Raw genomic sequence first — 16025 nt, forward strand, 5'->3', positions numbered from 1 at the left:
TCAACAGGATCCCAAGGCAGAATAATTTTTCTTAGTACAGAACAAAACGAAAAGTCTCCCATGTCTACCTCCCTCTACACAGACACGGCAACCATCCGACTTCTTAATCTTTTCTCCACCCTTCCCCGCTCTCTATTCCACAAAACCGCCATTGTCATCATGGCCCGTTCTCAATGAACTGTTGGGTACACCTCCCAGACGGGGTGGTGGCCGGGCAGAGGGGCTCCTCACTTCCCAGTAGGGGCGGCCGGGCAGAGGTGCCCCTCACCTCCCGGACGGGGTGGCTGGCTGGGTGGGGGGCTGACCCCCCCACCTCCCTCCCAGACGGGGCGGCTGGCCGGGCGGGGGGACTATGGCCTTATAGTATAGTTTGAAGTCGAGTAATGTAATGCTTCTAGATTTGCTCTTTTTGCTTAGTCACACTTTGACTATGTGGGCTCTTTTTTGGTTCCTTATGAATTTTAGGATTGTTTTTTCTAGCTCTGTGAAAATGATGGTGGCATTTTGTTGGGAATTGCATTGAATTTAGATTGCTTTTGGCAGCACGGTCATTTTCACAATACTGATTCTACCATCCATGAGCATGGGATGTGTTTCCATTTGTTTGTGTCATCTATGATTTCTTTCAGCAGTGTTTTGTAGTTTTCCTTGTAGAGGTCTTTCATCTCCTTGGGTTAAGTATATTCCTAAGTATTTATTTTTATTTTTATTTTTTTGCAGCTGTTGTAAAAGGGATTGAGTTCTTGATTTGATTCTCAGCTTGGTTGCTGTTGGTGTATAGCAGGGCTGTTGATTAGTGTACACTAATTTTGTATCCTGAAAGTTTGCCAAATTCATTTACCAGTTCTAGGAACTTTCTGGATGAGTCTTTAGGGTTTTCTAAGTATACAGTCATGTCATCAGCAAACAGCAACAGTTTGACTTCCTCTTTACTTGTTTGGATGTCCTTTATTGCTTTCTCTTGTCTGATTTTTCTGGCTAGGACTTCCAGTACTATGTTAAATAGAAGTGGTGAAAGTGGGCATTCTTGTCTTGTTCCAGTTCTCAAGGGGAATGCTTTCAACTTTTTCCTGTTCAGTATAATGTTGGCTGTGGGTTTGTGATAGATAACTTTTATTACCTTAAGGTATGTCCCTTCGATGCCAATTTTGCTGAGGGTTTTAGATCATAAAAGGATGCTGGATTTTGTCACATGCTTTTTCTGCATCTATTGAGATGATCATGTGATTTTTGTTTTTAATTCTTTTTATGTAATGTGTCACATTTATTGAGTTGTGAATGTTAAACTATCCCTGCATTCCTGGTATGAAACCCATTTGATCATGGTGGATTACCTTTTTGATATACTGCTGGATTCGATTAGCTAGTATTTTGGTGAGGATTTTTGTGTCATGTTCATCAGGGATATTGGTCTATAGTTTTCTTTTTTGTTATGTCCTTTCCTAGTTTGGCATTAGGGTGATACTGGCTTCATAGAATGATTTAGTGAGGATTCCCTCTTTCTCTATTTTTTGGAATAGTGTCAATAGTATTGATACCAATTCTTCTTTGAATGTCTGATAGAATTCAGCTGTGAATCCATCTGGCCCTGGACTTTTCTTGTTGTTACCATTTCCATTACAATTACTTCTAACTACCACTTCAATCTCACTGCTTGTTATTGGTCTGTTCAGAGTTTCTATTTCTTCCTGGTTTAATCTAGGAGGGCTGTATATTTCCAGGAAATTATCCATCTCCTATAGGTATTCTAGTTTATGCACATGAAGGTGTTCATAGTAGGCTTGAATGACCTTTTGTATTTCTGTAGTATTGGAATGTTTCCCATTTCATTTCTAATTGAGCTTATTTGGATCTTCTCTCTTTTTCTTGGTTAATCTCGCTAATGGTCTATCACTTTTGTTTATCTTTTCAAAGAACCAGTTTTTGTTTCATTTTTCTTTTGTATTTTTTTTGGTTTCAATTTCATTTAGTTCTGCTCTGATCTTGTCATATTACCAGAATAGCTTTACTGGTTCCTTCTCATTTGGGTAGACTACGTCAGAGTGAATATCTGGGACTCAAGGGCTGCTGTTCAGTTTCTTTTGTGCCTCGGGGTGCTCCCTTGATGTGCTGCTCTCCTTTCCCCTAAGGATGGGGCTTCCTTAGAGCTGAACTGCAGTGATTGTTATTTATCTTCTGGACCTGGCCACCCAGTGGAGCTACTGGGCTCTGGGCTAGTACTGGGGAGTATCTGCAGAATCCCGTGATATGATCCGTCTTCAGGTCTGTCAGCCATGGATTCCAGCACTTGCTTTGGTGGAGGCAGCAGGGGAGTGAAGTAGACTCTGTGAGGGTTCTTGTATTTTTGTTAACTGCACTGATTTTGTGTTGGTTGGCCTCCAGCTAGGAGTTGGTGCTCTCAAGAATGCATCAGTATACGGAGGATCAGGCAGTGGGTGAGACCTACTCCTGGCCTTAAAGCTCCCAAGAGATTATGTATTTTGTATTTGGCTGTCAGGGCGGGTAGAGAAAGATCATCAGGTAGGGGCAGGATTGGGTGTGTCTGAGCTCATACTCTCCTTGGGCCAGGCTTGCTAAGGCGGCTATGGGGTCTGGGGGTGTGGTTCCCAGGCCAATCGAGTTCTGTTCCCAGGTGGATTATGGCTGCCTCCGCTGTGTCACACAGGTTGCTGGGGTGTGGTTCCCAGGCCAATCAAGTTCTGTTCCCAGGTGGATTATGGCTGCCTCCGCTGTGTCACACAGGTTGCTGGGGTGTGGTTCCCAGGCCAATCGAGTTCTGTTCCCAGGTGGATTATGGCTGCCTCCGCTGTCACACAGGCTGCTGGGGTGTGGTTCCCAGGCCAATTGAGTTCTGTTCCCAGGTGGATTATGGCTGCCTCCTCTGTGTCACACAGGTTGCTGGGGTGTGGTTCCCAGGCCAATCGAGTTCTGTTCCCAGGTGGATTATGGCTGCCTCCGCTGTGTCACACAGGTTGCTGGGGGTGTGGTTCCCAGGCCAATCGAGTTCTGTTCCCAGGTGGATTATGGCTGCCTCCACTGTGTCACACAGGTTGCTGGGGTGTGGTTCCCAGGCCAATCGAGTTCTGTTCCCAGGTGGATTATGGCTGCCTCCGCTGTGTCACACAGGTTGCTGGGAAGTAGGAGAAAGCTGGCAGCCACAGGCCTCACCCAGCTCCCATGCAGCCCACAGCCCTAAAGGCCGGTTTCACTCCCACCATGCCCCACCAACAGCAATGAGTTTACTTCCAGGAAGCTGGTGAGCAGGGCTGAGAACTTGCTCCAGGCTACAAGCCTCCCAGCTGAGAAAACGAGCGAACTCACAGTTCCTCGACTGTCCCATGGAGCCTGCAGTGGCAATCCGCCTCCTTCAAAGGGTCTGTGGACTTTCTCGGCTTTCCTGGTATGTTCCTGTGGAAGTTCTTGGAGCAAAAGTTCACGATGTGGGTCTCCATACACTGCTCTGTTCATCTGAGTGGGAGCTGCAAATTAGTCCTGCCTCCTATCCGCCATTTTTCCTCAGCATCCTCTTCTTTCTTTTCTTTTTTTTTTTTTTTTTTTTTTTTGAGACGGAGTCTCGCTCTGTCGCCCAGGCTGGAGTGCAGTGGCGGGATCTCGGCTCACTGCAAGCTCCGCCTCCCGGGTTCACGCCCTTCTCCTGCCTCAGCCTCCCGAGTAGCTGGGACTACAGGCACCTGCCACCACGCCCGGCTAATTTTTTGTATTTTTAGTAGAGACGGGGTTTCACCGTGTTAGCCAGGATGGTCTCGATCTCCTGACCTCGTGATCCGCCCGCCTCGGCCTCCCAAAGTGCTGGGATTACAGGCGTGAGCCACCGCGACTGGCCCCTCTTCCTTCTTAAAAGCTGGACCACGCCTGTAATCCCAGCACTTTGGGAGGCCGAGGCGGGCAGATCACAAGGTCAGGAGATCAAGACCATCCTGGCTAACATGGTGAAACCCCGTCTCTACTAAAAAAGTACAAAAACAATTAGCCGGGCGTGGTGGCGGGCGCCTGTAGTGCCAGCTACTTGGGAGGCTGAGACAGGAGAATGGCATGAACCTGGGAGGTGGAGCTTGCAGTGAGCCGAGATCGCACCACTGCACTCCAGCCCGGGCGACAGAGCGAGACTCCGTCTCAAAAAAAAAAAAAAAAGGCTGGAAAACTGGAGATTATTTTGAGGCCAGGCGTATTCATGTTCAGGCCAACAGGTACTAGCTGAGCCTTGTGCTAGTCACAAGAGAAGCAGCAAATGACAAGGGGAGGACAGGAGTCTGTCAGGCCAAGCACTGGTCCCTTATGGAGACAAAGAAGAATGAGCCGGACCACAGCTATGAGGTTGACCTAATGGTTTCTCTTGCAGGCACAGTGCCATTGCATTTCCTACAGGGCCCCACTTAGGAGGCACTTCTATCACTCTATCGCACAGATGCAGAAACTGAGGCTCGGAGAGGTTAAGGAACTTATCCCAGTTAGTAAGTGGTGCCGACAAGAATCAAATTTAGACAGTTCTGACAGAAAGCCATGTTTGTAATCACCACATATTCATGCTCCTTCTTAGCACAGGGTGGCTAAAAAGCTCAAACAAGCCAAGATTTAAATACCACAAAGAAGATCCAAGTGACCTGTGAGGAGGAGACTGCCAGTGGATGGGCGATCAGGAAGACTTTGTAGGAGAGGAAAAATATTTTTTTCTCAGTTCTCATAAGTTCTTAGTTGGAATGGGCAGATGAATAAGAGAAAAACAAGCAGATGTTAATTAACATGTATATTTCTTATATACATGGGAGACACCCAGGGAATAAGTAGCTTTCAAAGAGGTGGCTTTGAATTCCAGCTTATATAGTGTCTTCAACAAAGAACAGTAAAGTTTTAGAGACATGACAAGGGAATTAAAAAGGACTTTGAGTCTCTAAGAGTAGTGACTTGTGGAAAGGCGAAATGTCAGATAAAGGCTAGTTTGTAAAGCTTGTTAATGTAGATTCCCCTGGTGCCATCTCCAGACTGATAAGAGTCTTAAAGTTGTCTTCGCTGGTTGACCTTTGTCCTCTCTGGTAGACGCAGTGGGGGTGAGGAGTAGGGGTTAGGGTAGCGAGGGGGTTTCCTTCCACCTGTGGGAAGAGGCATTCACATTTTAAGATTGGGAGCAGGAGGCCTGATGTGATTACAGCTGTGATGTAAAACCGACATTCAATGATATTTTAATATCTCATACCTGTAATCTTTTTAAAAACTTGGGAAAACAACTTATAATTTTTACAAGAACATTAATAAAAATAACAAGTTGCACCTACTATAGCCACTATTTCATAAAAGAAAGGCCATTTTTACATTTCCTCTCCACTCAGTGAGCATGATCTCAGAAGAAAGGACTGCCTTTCTCAAGAATGAAGAGTTAACAATAGCATCCCAACATATTTAAATATCAAGCCCTGGGCTCTCGATTTTCTAATTTAATTTAGCTCATCATTAAAACTGGCACTGGTCTAAGGACCAACATGTAGAAACCACCGCTCTGAAAGATCTGGCAGTAGCATAGAAGGCAGATTGGAGCTGGGGAAGAGAGACTTTTTTATTCTTTTTTTATTTTTATTTTTTGAGATGGAGTTTCTCTCTTGTTACCCAGGCTGGAGTGCAATGGCGTGATCTTGGCTCACTGCAACCTCCACCTCCCCAGTTCAAGTGATTCTCCTGCCTCAGCCTCCCAAGTAGCTGGGATTACAGGTGTGCGTTATCACACCCGGCTAATTTTGTATTTTTAGTAGAGACAGGGTTTCTCCATGTTGGTCAGGCTGGTCTCGAACTCCCGAACTCAGGTGATCTGCCCACCTCGGTCTCCCAAAGTGCTGGGATTACAGGTGTGAGCCACCGTGCCCCGCCCGAGACTTTTTTTCTTAAGGAGATTGTCTTAGTCACCTCAGACTGCCATAACAAAATACCACAGGCTGGGTGGCTTAACCAACAGGAAGAATGTATTTGCTCCCAGTTCTGGAGGCTGTGATCAAGTCTCAGATCATCCACTTGCTGGCTGGCAGACAGCTACCTTCTCACTGTGGCCTTTCCTTGGTGTCTGTGCAGGCACGGGGACAGTGAGAGCTCTCTGGTGTCTCTACCTCTTCTTATAAGGACACCAATTCTATTGTGTTAGGGCCCCACCCTTATTTAACCTCAATTACTTTCTTATAGGCTCTATCTTCAAATACAGCCACACTGGGAGTTAGGACTTTGATATGTGGATTGTGGAGGGATTCAGTTCACACAGAGCTATTGCAATGGTTTGGACAAGCAGCTCTAATTGGGGAAGGGGGAAGCCTGTAGGCATGGGAAGGAGAGGTCAGGCGTGTCACGTGCGTCTGTGTGAAAAGACCACCAAACAGGCTTTGTGTGAGCAACAAGGCTGTTTATTTCACCTGGGTGCAGGTGGGCTGAGTCTGAAAGAGAGTCAGCGAAGGGAGATGGGGTGGGGAGGTTTTATAGGATTTGGGTAGGTAGTGGAAAATTACAGTCAAAGGGGGTTTCTCTCTTTGGGCAGGCGTGGGGGTCACAAGGTGCTCAGTGGGGGAGGTTCTGAGCCAGGAAAAGGAATTTCACAAGGTTAATCGCTCAGTTAAGGTGGGGCAGGAATAAATCACAATGGTGGAATGTCATCAGTTAAGGCAGGAACTGGCCATTTTCACTTCTTTTGTGATTCTTCACTTGCTTCAGGCCATCTGGATGTATATGTGCAGGTCACAGGGCATACATTGGCTTAGCTTGGGCTCAGAGGCCTGACAAGGCACAGAAGGAGCTGGGATAGAGGTGCAAAGTACTCATGCTGACCTGACATCCCATGCCCACGGCAGACATGACTACTTGATCGGACAATACTTTCTTGGAATCAAAGACACAACTTCACAGTCCTCAGCATCATAGTTCAGGCAGCCTGTATCAGTAGATCAGAGTGGGCACATGGCCTGGTGCTATCACTCCATCCTGTGAGGGGAGATGGGATTGGAATGGAGGTGGAGGAGTCACAGGTGGTCCTGATATCACAGGCCTGGGAGTCTGAAAGAAGTGCAGTAGGTAGTATTATGGCCCTCAAAGACATCTGTGTCCTACTGTCTAGAGTCAATTAAAGTGTTACCTAACATAGAAAAAAGGATTTTGCAGGTGGGATTAAACTAAGGATCTCAAGATAGAAAGACTCTCCTGGAGTATCCAGTTGTGTCCAATGTAAGAACAAGCGTTCTCAAAATAGGGACACAGGAGATTGAATTGCAAAGGAGATGTGCTGATAAACGGAGAGGTTGGAGTGATGCCGCCATGAGGCAAGGAATGTGGGTGGCCTCTAGCAGCTAGCAATGATTCGGAAATGGATTCTCCCCCAGAGTCCAGAAAGATCACAGCAGTGCTGACACCTTGATTTGAGCCCAGTGTCACCTCTGTCAGACTTCTGCCCTATAGAACTGTAAGAGGATAAATTTGTGTTTTAAGGCACAAAGTTTATGGTAATTTGTTATAGCAGCAATGGGAAACTAATACAAGAAGGGTTGTGTTATCAACAGAAATACAGCAATCAGAAGAAAGATGGTTGGGGAGAGCAGAGGGTGGGGTGGGAAGGTGATGGATTCTGTTTGGGACATTCTGGGTGTCATATGAATATTATTGGGGAACTGTCCATCAAAAGCTCAGACTTCAAAGAAAGAAAGGAAGGAGCAACAATATTTTGAAAGGGAGAAAGTAGGTAATATTCAATATGTGTTGAGTACCTACAAGGTTTTTAGTTCTTTCACCAAGTTATTTTATTTAATTTTTATGGCATCAAGGGGTGTTTTTTTTTTTTCTTAAACCAAATTTTCTCAGTTAAGCATCCCATGTAAGTGGCCAGGGGTTAAGAGATGTGACTAAGACTAGACAGAGTGATTTTCATCATTACATGGTACTATGGTTCTACTGAAGCACTGAGGAAGGAAGTCAAGAGAGTTCCTGAGAAATGTCTGGAGTCTTAGTAACATGCAAAGTGAGGCAGAGGTATTGTCAGTGTTAGCTGGTCACTTTGAAAGGTTAGAGGTAAATAAAGTTCAGGGCAATGGTACTTGGAGAGGAGTGAATCTTTGGTAACCTGGAGGAGATGCTTCTCAGAGGAAAATTTCTTCACAGCATGAAGTCACCAGCTCTAAGACTAGTGGGTGTTCTGGGGGATGTTAGCAGTGACTCACTGACTGTTGGCCCAGTGAGGGGAGGGATGAAAGGCTGGGTAGTGGGTAGAGAATCTGACTCCTCCTGCCCCCACATGTCTATTCCTGGGCCTTCTCATGGTGGGGGCAAAAGGTATGCAAAGGGATTTCCGCAGTGTCTGAGTGCTCCCAGGAGACGGAAAAGTAACTGATGACTTGGAGTTGGAGTCTTGTTGGCTCAGGCAGCTGGGGCGTTTTGGGATTTCAACACCTCCCTTTAGTTTCTATGTATGGTGCTGAGCAAGTAGTCAAAGACTTTGGTCTTGCTTTACCCCAGTAGCCCACAAGCCTGAGTACATGGCTAACATTTATTGGGCACTTAGTGTGTGCCAAAGAGCTTTATGAGACAGGTTCTTTTTGAGTCCCATTATACTGATAATGGGACTGATAAGAAACAGAAGGTCAGAAAGGCCCAGTAACTTGGGCAAGGTCATGTAGCTAGTAAGTGGTCCAGCTGAAATTTAAAACCAGGTTTATCCAACTCCAAATCCCACATCTGATTTATTTTGCCATGAATTAAAACATAGTTCTGATTTTGAGAAACTCCCAGTCCCAGTGGGAAAACAGATGGAATCACAAATTACCATAACACAGTGTAGTGATGTAGATATAAAAACAAAGACATGGGAACCCTGAAAGGAAGTTGTAACACCAATAGAGGAATGCACGGAGGAGATCTTTCAGAGGAGGTAGCCTCGTAGCTGGGCTCAGGGGTGGATGAGTTTCTGGCTAGAAGCGCATTGTGGGTAGAGGGAGAACATATATAGAAAGGCATGAAGATGGTGGACATGTTTGGAAAGAGTGAGTACTAGACTGATGAACACGATGAGTCAGGAGCTTATGACGTCAGGGGCTACTGCTAGCCTAGCTAATGACTGAAGATTCTGTGAAAAGAAAACCCTAACATTTCCAGCTGAGTACTAGGGCCATGGTGATTATATATCATCTCTCATGACAACACAAATGTTTGGGCTTACTTATCATCCTGCTCAGTAATCATTATGTCACTCATTAAAGATGTATCAGGGTAAATTTTAGGTGAGAATTGATTAGAAATGTAAACTCTATATATGTAGTTACAGGCTTCACAGTTTGCCACTCAAACAATATGGTCATCCAATCATGAGGCACAACCTTCTGCTCAGAACTTTTTTATAATTGGGAGAAAGTGACATCCGAGTTCCATCTCTTCTGAGAACTGTGCAGCTCAGAAATCTTCTTCCCTTTTTTGATCCCCCAGTTGGGTGAGATGACATTAACAGTGTGTTATAAGCACTTTTCATGTTTACTACCCCATATTCAAAATTAAGCATTTCAAACAACTGTATAATTGTCTATAAATGTAGCATTATTAGTTAATTTTCCTTTTAACACATTGAGGTTACCTCTAATGTTTTGCTATTTTTAACTATGTTGAAATAATCATGTGGTTTTTATTCTTTGAATTATTTTATATTGTAATGTTCCCTGAAATGAAATTAGTTGATCAAAAGATGAGTAATCTTTTCATGACTTTTGATACATGTCACTCAATCACCTTCTGGAAGAGTTGGAACAAGAGCCTATTGCTGGCATCCCATTTCATAGCCATCTCACCAATGTTGGAAAATGGGCTTTTCCTATTTTCTGCTAATTCATTAGTTGTTAATGGCTTATTTTAACTATTAATCCCTTGTTATTGATGAAAGTTAAGCATTTTCTGTATTTTTATTTTCTGTCTAAATTCTACTTTTTGCACAATTTCCTTTGCTCACTTCTTCACTGGAATTTAGTATTTTTCTTTCCAATTTGTATGACTCCAAAATCAGTGATAAAATAAGCAAAGGGTCTTTCTTAGAGGCTAAACAAGGGAATGAATAAGGAACAAGAACAGCAAAGGGATAGTGAATAAAGATACAAAATAATAACTTATTTTTATTTTTGAAGCTTTCCCCAGGCAGTAATTCTTGACCTTTTTAAGATTATAAATTATTTTGAGATATGCATTCTTATCCTCAAAATGAATTAGTACATAAAATTTAAATGGGTTGATAGATCCCCTGAAGTGTATCCACAAAATGCTCTCAGGTTAAGCAACATTGTTCTATAATAACTGCTTTAACCAAAATGTTTAATTATTGCTTGTGTTTACCTGTCCTAGCAAAGAGCTAATTGTTAAATTTTGTGTTAGAGGGTCAATATTATAAATAACTTAATGTGGCCTCTCTTTCCTTTCCTTTTTTTGAGAGTTTTGAGGCTATCACTAAGTGGGCTTTAGAGTACCAGGTGGGAATCTGACCTCACTGCTCAAACTTTCAACTTCAGGCATGAAGTGGTCCCAGTGATGTGGGAACCTCAGAGTCTAAAACAAAAATAGTAGACTGAGGCCCTCAGAAACCAGACTTATCAGATTCAGAATTTAATATAACTATGTTTGAAAGATTTAAAGAAAATAAATCAAATTAAAAAGTGAGCAAGAAGCAAGAATAACAAATGAACTGGCATATTTGAGAAAGAATTTTGAGCTTTTAGAAATAATACATACAGTTATTGAAGTAAAAACTCAAGTCAATAGGTTTAAACAGCAAAATGAATATAGTTAAAGAAAACTATTGTGCTGAAAGATTTAAAAAACTATTACACAGAATGCAAAATGATGAAATAGGGTAATTTAATATATGGCAGATATGTTAAGACACTATGAGGATAGTATGAGAAGACCTGATAGACATCTAATCACAGCACCTTAAGGTGAAAATAGAGAGAGTGCACCAATATTGAGGAGTTAATGTCTGAGACTATTCCAGAACTGATAAATAGATGAATCTACAGATCTCAGAAACACAGCTTTTACAAAGGATAAATGAAGAGAAATTCACCAGAGATACATTGTAATGAATCTGTAAATCACCAAAGCTAAAGATATTATTTCACAAGTGGAATGACAGCTGACTTCTCAACAACAACGAAAGCAAGGAGACAGTTGAAAGACATCTTGAAAATGGTGAGAGAAAAACTAACTGTTAATATAAAATTGTGTACCTATCAAAAATATCTTTTGGCCAGGCGTGGTGGCTCACGCCTATAATCCTAGCACTTTGGGAAGCCAAGGAACGTGGATCACTTGAGGTCAGGAGTTTGAGACCGTCCTGGCCAACATGGTGAAACCCCATCTCTACTAAAAATACAAAAAAAAAAAAAAATAGCCATGTGTGGTGGTGTGCACCTGTAATCCCAGCTACTTGGGAGGCTGAGGCAGGAGAATCGCTTGAACCCAGGAGGTAGAGGTTGCAGTGAGCTGAGATCATGCTGCTGCACTCCAGTCTGGGTGACAGAGTGAGACTGCCTCAAAACCAAACCAAACCAAACCAAACCAATCTTTCAAGAAGTACACCATAAAGACATTTCTGGATAAACAGTGAATGAGATTACTTCCTAAACGAATATGTAAGGATGTTTCTTTTTAAAATTTTTTTTGGGTGTATTCATCACCTCAAGCATTTATTCTTTTGTGTTGTTACAACTGATAAGAATATCTAAGGATGTTTCAAAAGGAAGAAAAATGATCCCTAAAGTCTGGTATATTAGTTTCTTATTAGTTGCTCTAAGAAATTACTGCAAACTTAGTGGCTTTAAAAAACACGAAATTATCTTTCAGTTCTGTAGGTCAGAAATTTAACCTCCTGATTTCTGGTCAGAAGTCTTACTGGGCTAAAATCAGGGTATCAGCAGGGCTGCTGGAGGCTCTGGAGATGATGTTTCTCTAATTTCTAGAGGCATTTGCATTCCTTAGCTAGTGGCTTCTTCCCACATCTTCAAAGCTAACAGTGGCAGTCGAGTCCTTCTCTTATCTTTTTTTTTTGGGGGGGGTTATAAATTTTTTTTATTATTATTATACTTTAAGTTTTAGGGTACATGTGCACAACGTGCAGGTTTGTTACATATGTATACATGTGCCACATTGGTGTGCTGCACCCATTAACTCATCATTTAGCATTAGGTATATCTCCTAATGCTATCCGTCCCCCCTCCCCCACCCCACAACAGTCCCCAGTGTGCGATGTTCCCCTTCCCTTCTCTTATCTTATCACTCTGACCTCTTCTGCCTCCTTTCTCTACTTTTAAGGACCCTTGTGATTAGATTGGGTCCACCTAAATAATCCAGGATAATCTCTTTATTTTAAGGTTAGCTGATTAGCAACCTCAATTCCATCTGTAACCTTAATTTCTTTTTTGCCATGTAACCTAACATAGTCACAGGCCCAAGGGAATAATAGGATGTGGGAATTGCGGGTGGTGGAGTAGGGGCATTATTCTGCTTACCACAGGGGACCTTGGATGTCAGTAAAAAATGGTGAGGAAGAAAACAGGAAACGTAGAATAATCTAAACAAATCTTTGAAAAATAAGTCGAAATGTGGGGTTAGAAAAAGGGCAGAACTAAAATGTTAAGACAAATTAAAATGTTAAGCCTATAAGTTGAGAGGGAGATGATCAAGGTTAAAAATACTCATAAATCATATTTTTTTGGGTAGGGGGTTAGATATTTATTAATTTTAGACCCTGAGAAGTAAAATAGTCATGACAAAAATTTAATAGTAACCACTAAAACAAGAGAAACAGAGTATATAACTTCTAAATCAATATGGGAAGGGGAATGGAATAAGAAAACAATAGCAACCACCAACACCCCACCCAAAATAAATAATAAGGTGAGAGAGAAAAAGAAGCATTGAAAAGGGGCTAAAATAAAATAAAAAATTAAGTCATGCCCGTAATCCCAGCACTTTGAGAGGCCAAGATGGGTGGATCACCTGAGGTCAGGAGTTCGAGACCAGCCTGACCAACATGGGGAAACCCCATCTCTACTAAAAATTCAAAATTAGCTGGGTGTGGGGGTGCATGCCTGTAATCCCAGCTACTCTGGAGGCTGAGGCAGGAGAATCGCTTGAACCCAGGAGGCAGAGGTTGTGGTGAGCAGAGATTGTGCCATTGCATTCCAGCCTGGGCAGCAAGAGCGAAACGCCATCTAAAAAAAAAAAAAAAAAAATTAAGATAGTAAAACAAATCCAAATACATTAAAGATTACAAAAAATGAAAATGAACTAAACTTCCTAGTTGAAAGACATATTGTCAGATTGGATTTTAAAATCTGGCAATGATATTTCCAGGACACAGTCCTAAAATATTAAACACAGAAAAGTTGAAAGTAAAGGGATGGAAGAACACAGTCAAACTAACTAGAAGAGAGCTGGGTTCACCCTTTTATATCAGAGCAGAATTTCACTGAGAAAACACTAACAGGAAGGGGGAAAGGCACAACATAGTGATGAAGCACTTAATTCTCAACAAATGTATGACACTTCTAAACTATTATGACTGCAAAAAAAAAAAAAACCTCAGCATATATAAAATTTTGGAAGAGCCATGGCTATCAGCTGACATGCACTTACCATATTTGCATTGTCCTACTACAAACTTTACCCATATGACCAAGGTGCTGTCTTCATCCCCATTTTACAGATGGGGAAATTTCCCCATAGAGAAAAAGATTTGGGCCATGCCTTGGTTTCTTCTTGACTCTGCTTCCTGCTGATTGATCCTCACACCTCACCTGGAGACCTACTTCACATTATCCATCAGGATGAGAACTGGTGTGCCTTTACCAAAGGACCACAGTCACCTTCAAAACGTGTTTAGATAGATCTGGATGGAGACTTATGTGGTTGCAGATGAAAAAAAAGTCCCCATGGTATATCTGACTCCATGTCATTCACTGCATGAACACTCACACACATGCACACGTACACAGGCAAACACAATCCTGTTCTGGTCCGGCAGTAGTGCCAACACTCAAATCCCAGGTCCTACTCTGAAGCCTTTGAGGAAACCATTGTCATTCTGGGGTTTATGGGAATATTTCTTCTTGGTGCCCCTTGTTCCTCACAGAAGCTTTTTTTCTGTGCTGTGGGCTTGCTATCCTAGCTTTCCAAGCTATCCTAGTTTTGCAAATTTCTCTGATCAATCACATCAGGTTCTTGGATCATCCCAAAATTAAAGAGGTACGTTTTGCTGCAAGAGACAAAGACATTCACCTCTCACACAGTTTGAATTCCTGGGTAGAAACAGATTTCAATGCTGGCCAGCCTCTGTAGCTCCCAGTGCCCCCTCAATTATGACTCCCGAGGCATTGGAGCAGGATCCTCACCTTGCGCAAAGATAATTAGGTGTGCTGAAGAAAGCCAGACACTGCTCTTTCTTAGCTCTGCATCCTTAAAAAGTTACCACTACTCCTTCTCTTTGAACCTTTGACTTGTCAATGGTAAAGTGCCTATGATTCTTAAAGGGATAAAAACGCAACCTATATAAAGCACCTGGCATAGTGCCTGGCACAGGTGGGTGTTTAACAAATGTTAACTCCTTTCTATCCCACTGTGGGTGTCCATATCCTCTTGGGTAGGCTGCCTCTGGTTTCCATTGTGTCATCAGAGCCATACTAAATCGATGTGTTGGACATGGATCCCAAGAACTAATTTCTGGAATGAGTTATGCCTACCAACTTCCCTGATACTTACTTCTGTCTCTCCATTTATCAAATGGAAATGTTTGCATTTGGCCTCTGCCAGTTGGAGTAACCAAAAGGCTTAGAGGTTTTGGAGAGGTCCTACACTGCCATCTGTTTGACCACATACTGCCTTTCACGTGTAATAAGCATTGTTTCTTACATTTGTCTAGGAATTAGCAGTTCACAAAGCACATTCGCATATAAGGGCTTGTTTTGAATTGATCTTGGCAGCAATTCTATGAGACAAGTAAAAGGTAGGTCAAGCATTATAATCCTCATTTTAAATCTGGGAAAACTGAATCTCAAAAAGGTTGAAAGACTTGTCTAGGGGACAGTGTGTGGGTAAATGAGAAGTTAAGATTTGCTGAACTGGCATTTCCTGACTACATATCTAGTGTTTATTTATGGAGAAGGCACTACGGTGGCCAAGTGGCTCAGAGTCACACAGCTCTGTGCCTCAGTTTATTTGTCTGTAAAATGAAGATAATAATATATTCTGAATACTGTTGTGGAATTTCATTGAGATAGTTCACATAATGGCATGGATACTGTAGTACACCGCCTAGATTCACAACCCCACGACTATCCATGAGAATGGCCCATAGCTCAAGAGGTCACATTCTTTCCCCAGGTGAAGCCCGCATCCAATGACTGCTCAGTGTGGGTATATAAAGGCCTGGCTCCCTTGCCAGTGCCACCCTACCTCCTGGCGAATGGACTGAGGCTTGCATTATGACTGCATTGCAGCTCAACTGTTCTTTCCATTCAGTCTTTCCTTTACACTCACACAGGTGAGGACCCAGCCATTAAATGCCTCACATGATAACCTCTATTGCATGCTAGGCTTCGTGTGCACACACAAAAACCATCCTCTATCAGTCAGGTCCCTTACTTGCAGAGGCAAAGAGGCCAGTCTGGGTTAGATGTGCACCCTGTTTTTACAACAGAACGAGACAAACAGGTCCTCCTTAGGTGTAAGTTCATGGCCTTGGCCCCACCCCTGAAACTCAGCCATCTGAGACAGTTTTAGGCCTGAGGCAACCCCAGACTTTGGGTTGTTGTTTGCTGGGCACAGCCTCCTTTTGCCAATGTTGCAATCCTTTGTAAGAGACCACAGGTTGATCACCCGTTCCTGTTACTGAGCACAGAGAGGTTTGTAGGCCAGTCTCTCCAGGAATTCTGACGCACTGCAAAATCCCATGGTCTGAATGCTTCTACCTTCCCTGTGAAAGCCCCTGGCCTCAGAAAAGGAAGCTGGTTTAAGTGACC

The 16025-nt window shown here is 42.9% G+C and overlaps 1 protein-coding gene across 4 annotated transcripts in view, besides 2 other annotated features; it reads left to right on the top strand.

The window, feature by feature from the left end:
* Window positions 1906-2045: an enhancer, noted in NCBI's record as "active region_16410". NCBI's record gives its function as "activates an Ori minimal core promoter by ATAC-STARR-seq in GM12878 lymphoblastoid cells {active_cell/tissue: GM12878}" and the evidence as "EXISTENCE:reporter gene assay evidence [ECO:0000049][PMID:35858748]".
* Window positions 2126-2175: an enhancer, noted in NCBI's record as "active region_16411". NCBI's record gives its function as "activates an Ori minimal core promoter by ATAC-STARR-seq in GM12878 lymphoblastoid cells {active_cell/tissue: GM12878}" and the evidence as "EXISTENCE:reporter gene assay evidence [ECO:0000049][PMID:35858748]".
* The window catches only part of IL1RN (interleukin 1 receptor antagonist), a 34655-nt gene continuing 21800 nt past the window's right edge, over window positions 3171-16025 (top strand). For 3 of the 4 annotated variants that reach the window (XM_047444185.1, XM_011511121.2, XM_047444186.1), the window contains exons 1-2: window positions 3171-3400; window positions 14927-15010. The gene's annotated coding sequence lies outside the window, so the exon portion shown is untranslated. Of the gene's footprint in view, window positions 3401-11024; window positions 11197-14926; window positions 15011-16025 lie in introns of all 4 variants that reach the window. The other variant, XM_047444184.1, reaches the window with a different exon arrangement.

This window comes from Homo sapiens, chromosome 2 (assembly GCF_000001405.40).
Source record: "Homo sapiens chromosome 2, GRCh38.p14 Primary Assembly".
In the NCBI taxonomy this organism is placed as follows: Eukaryota; Metazoa; Chordata; class Mammalia; order Primates; family Hominidae; genus Homo; species Homo sapiens.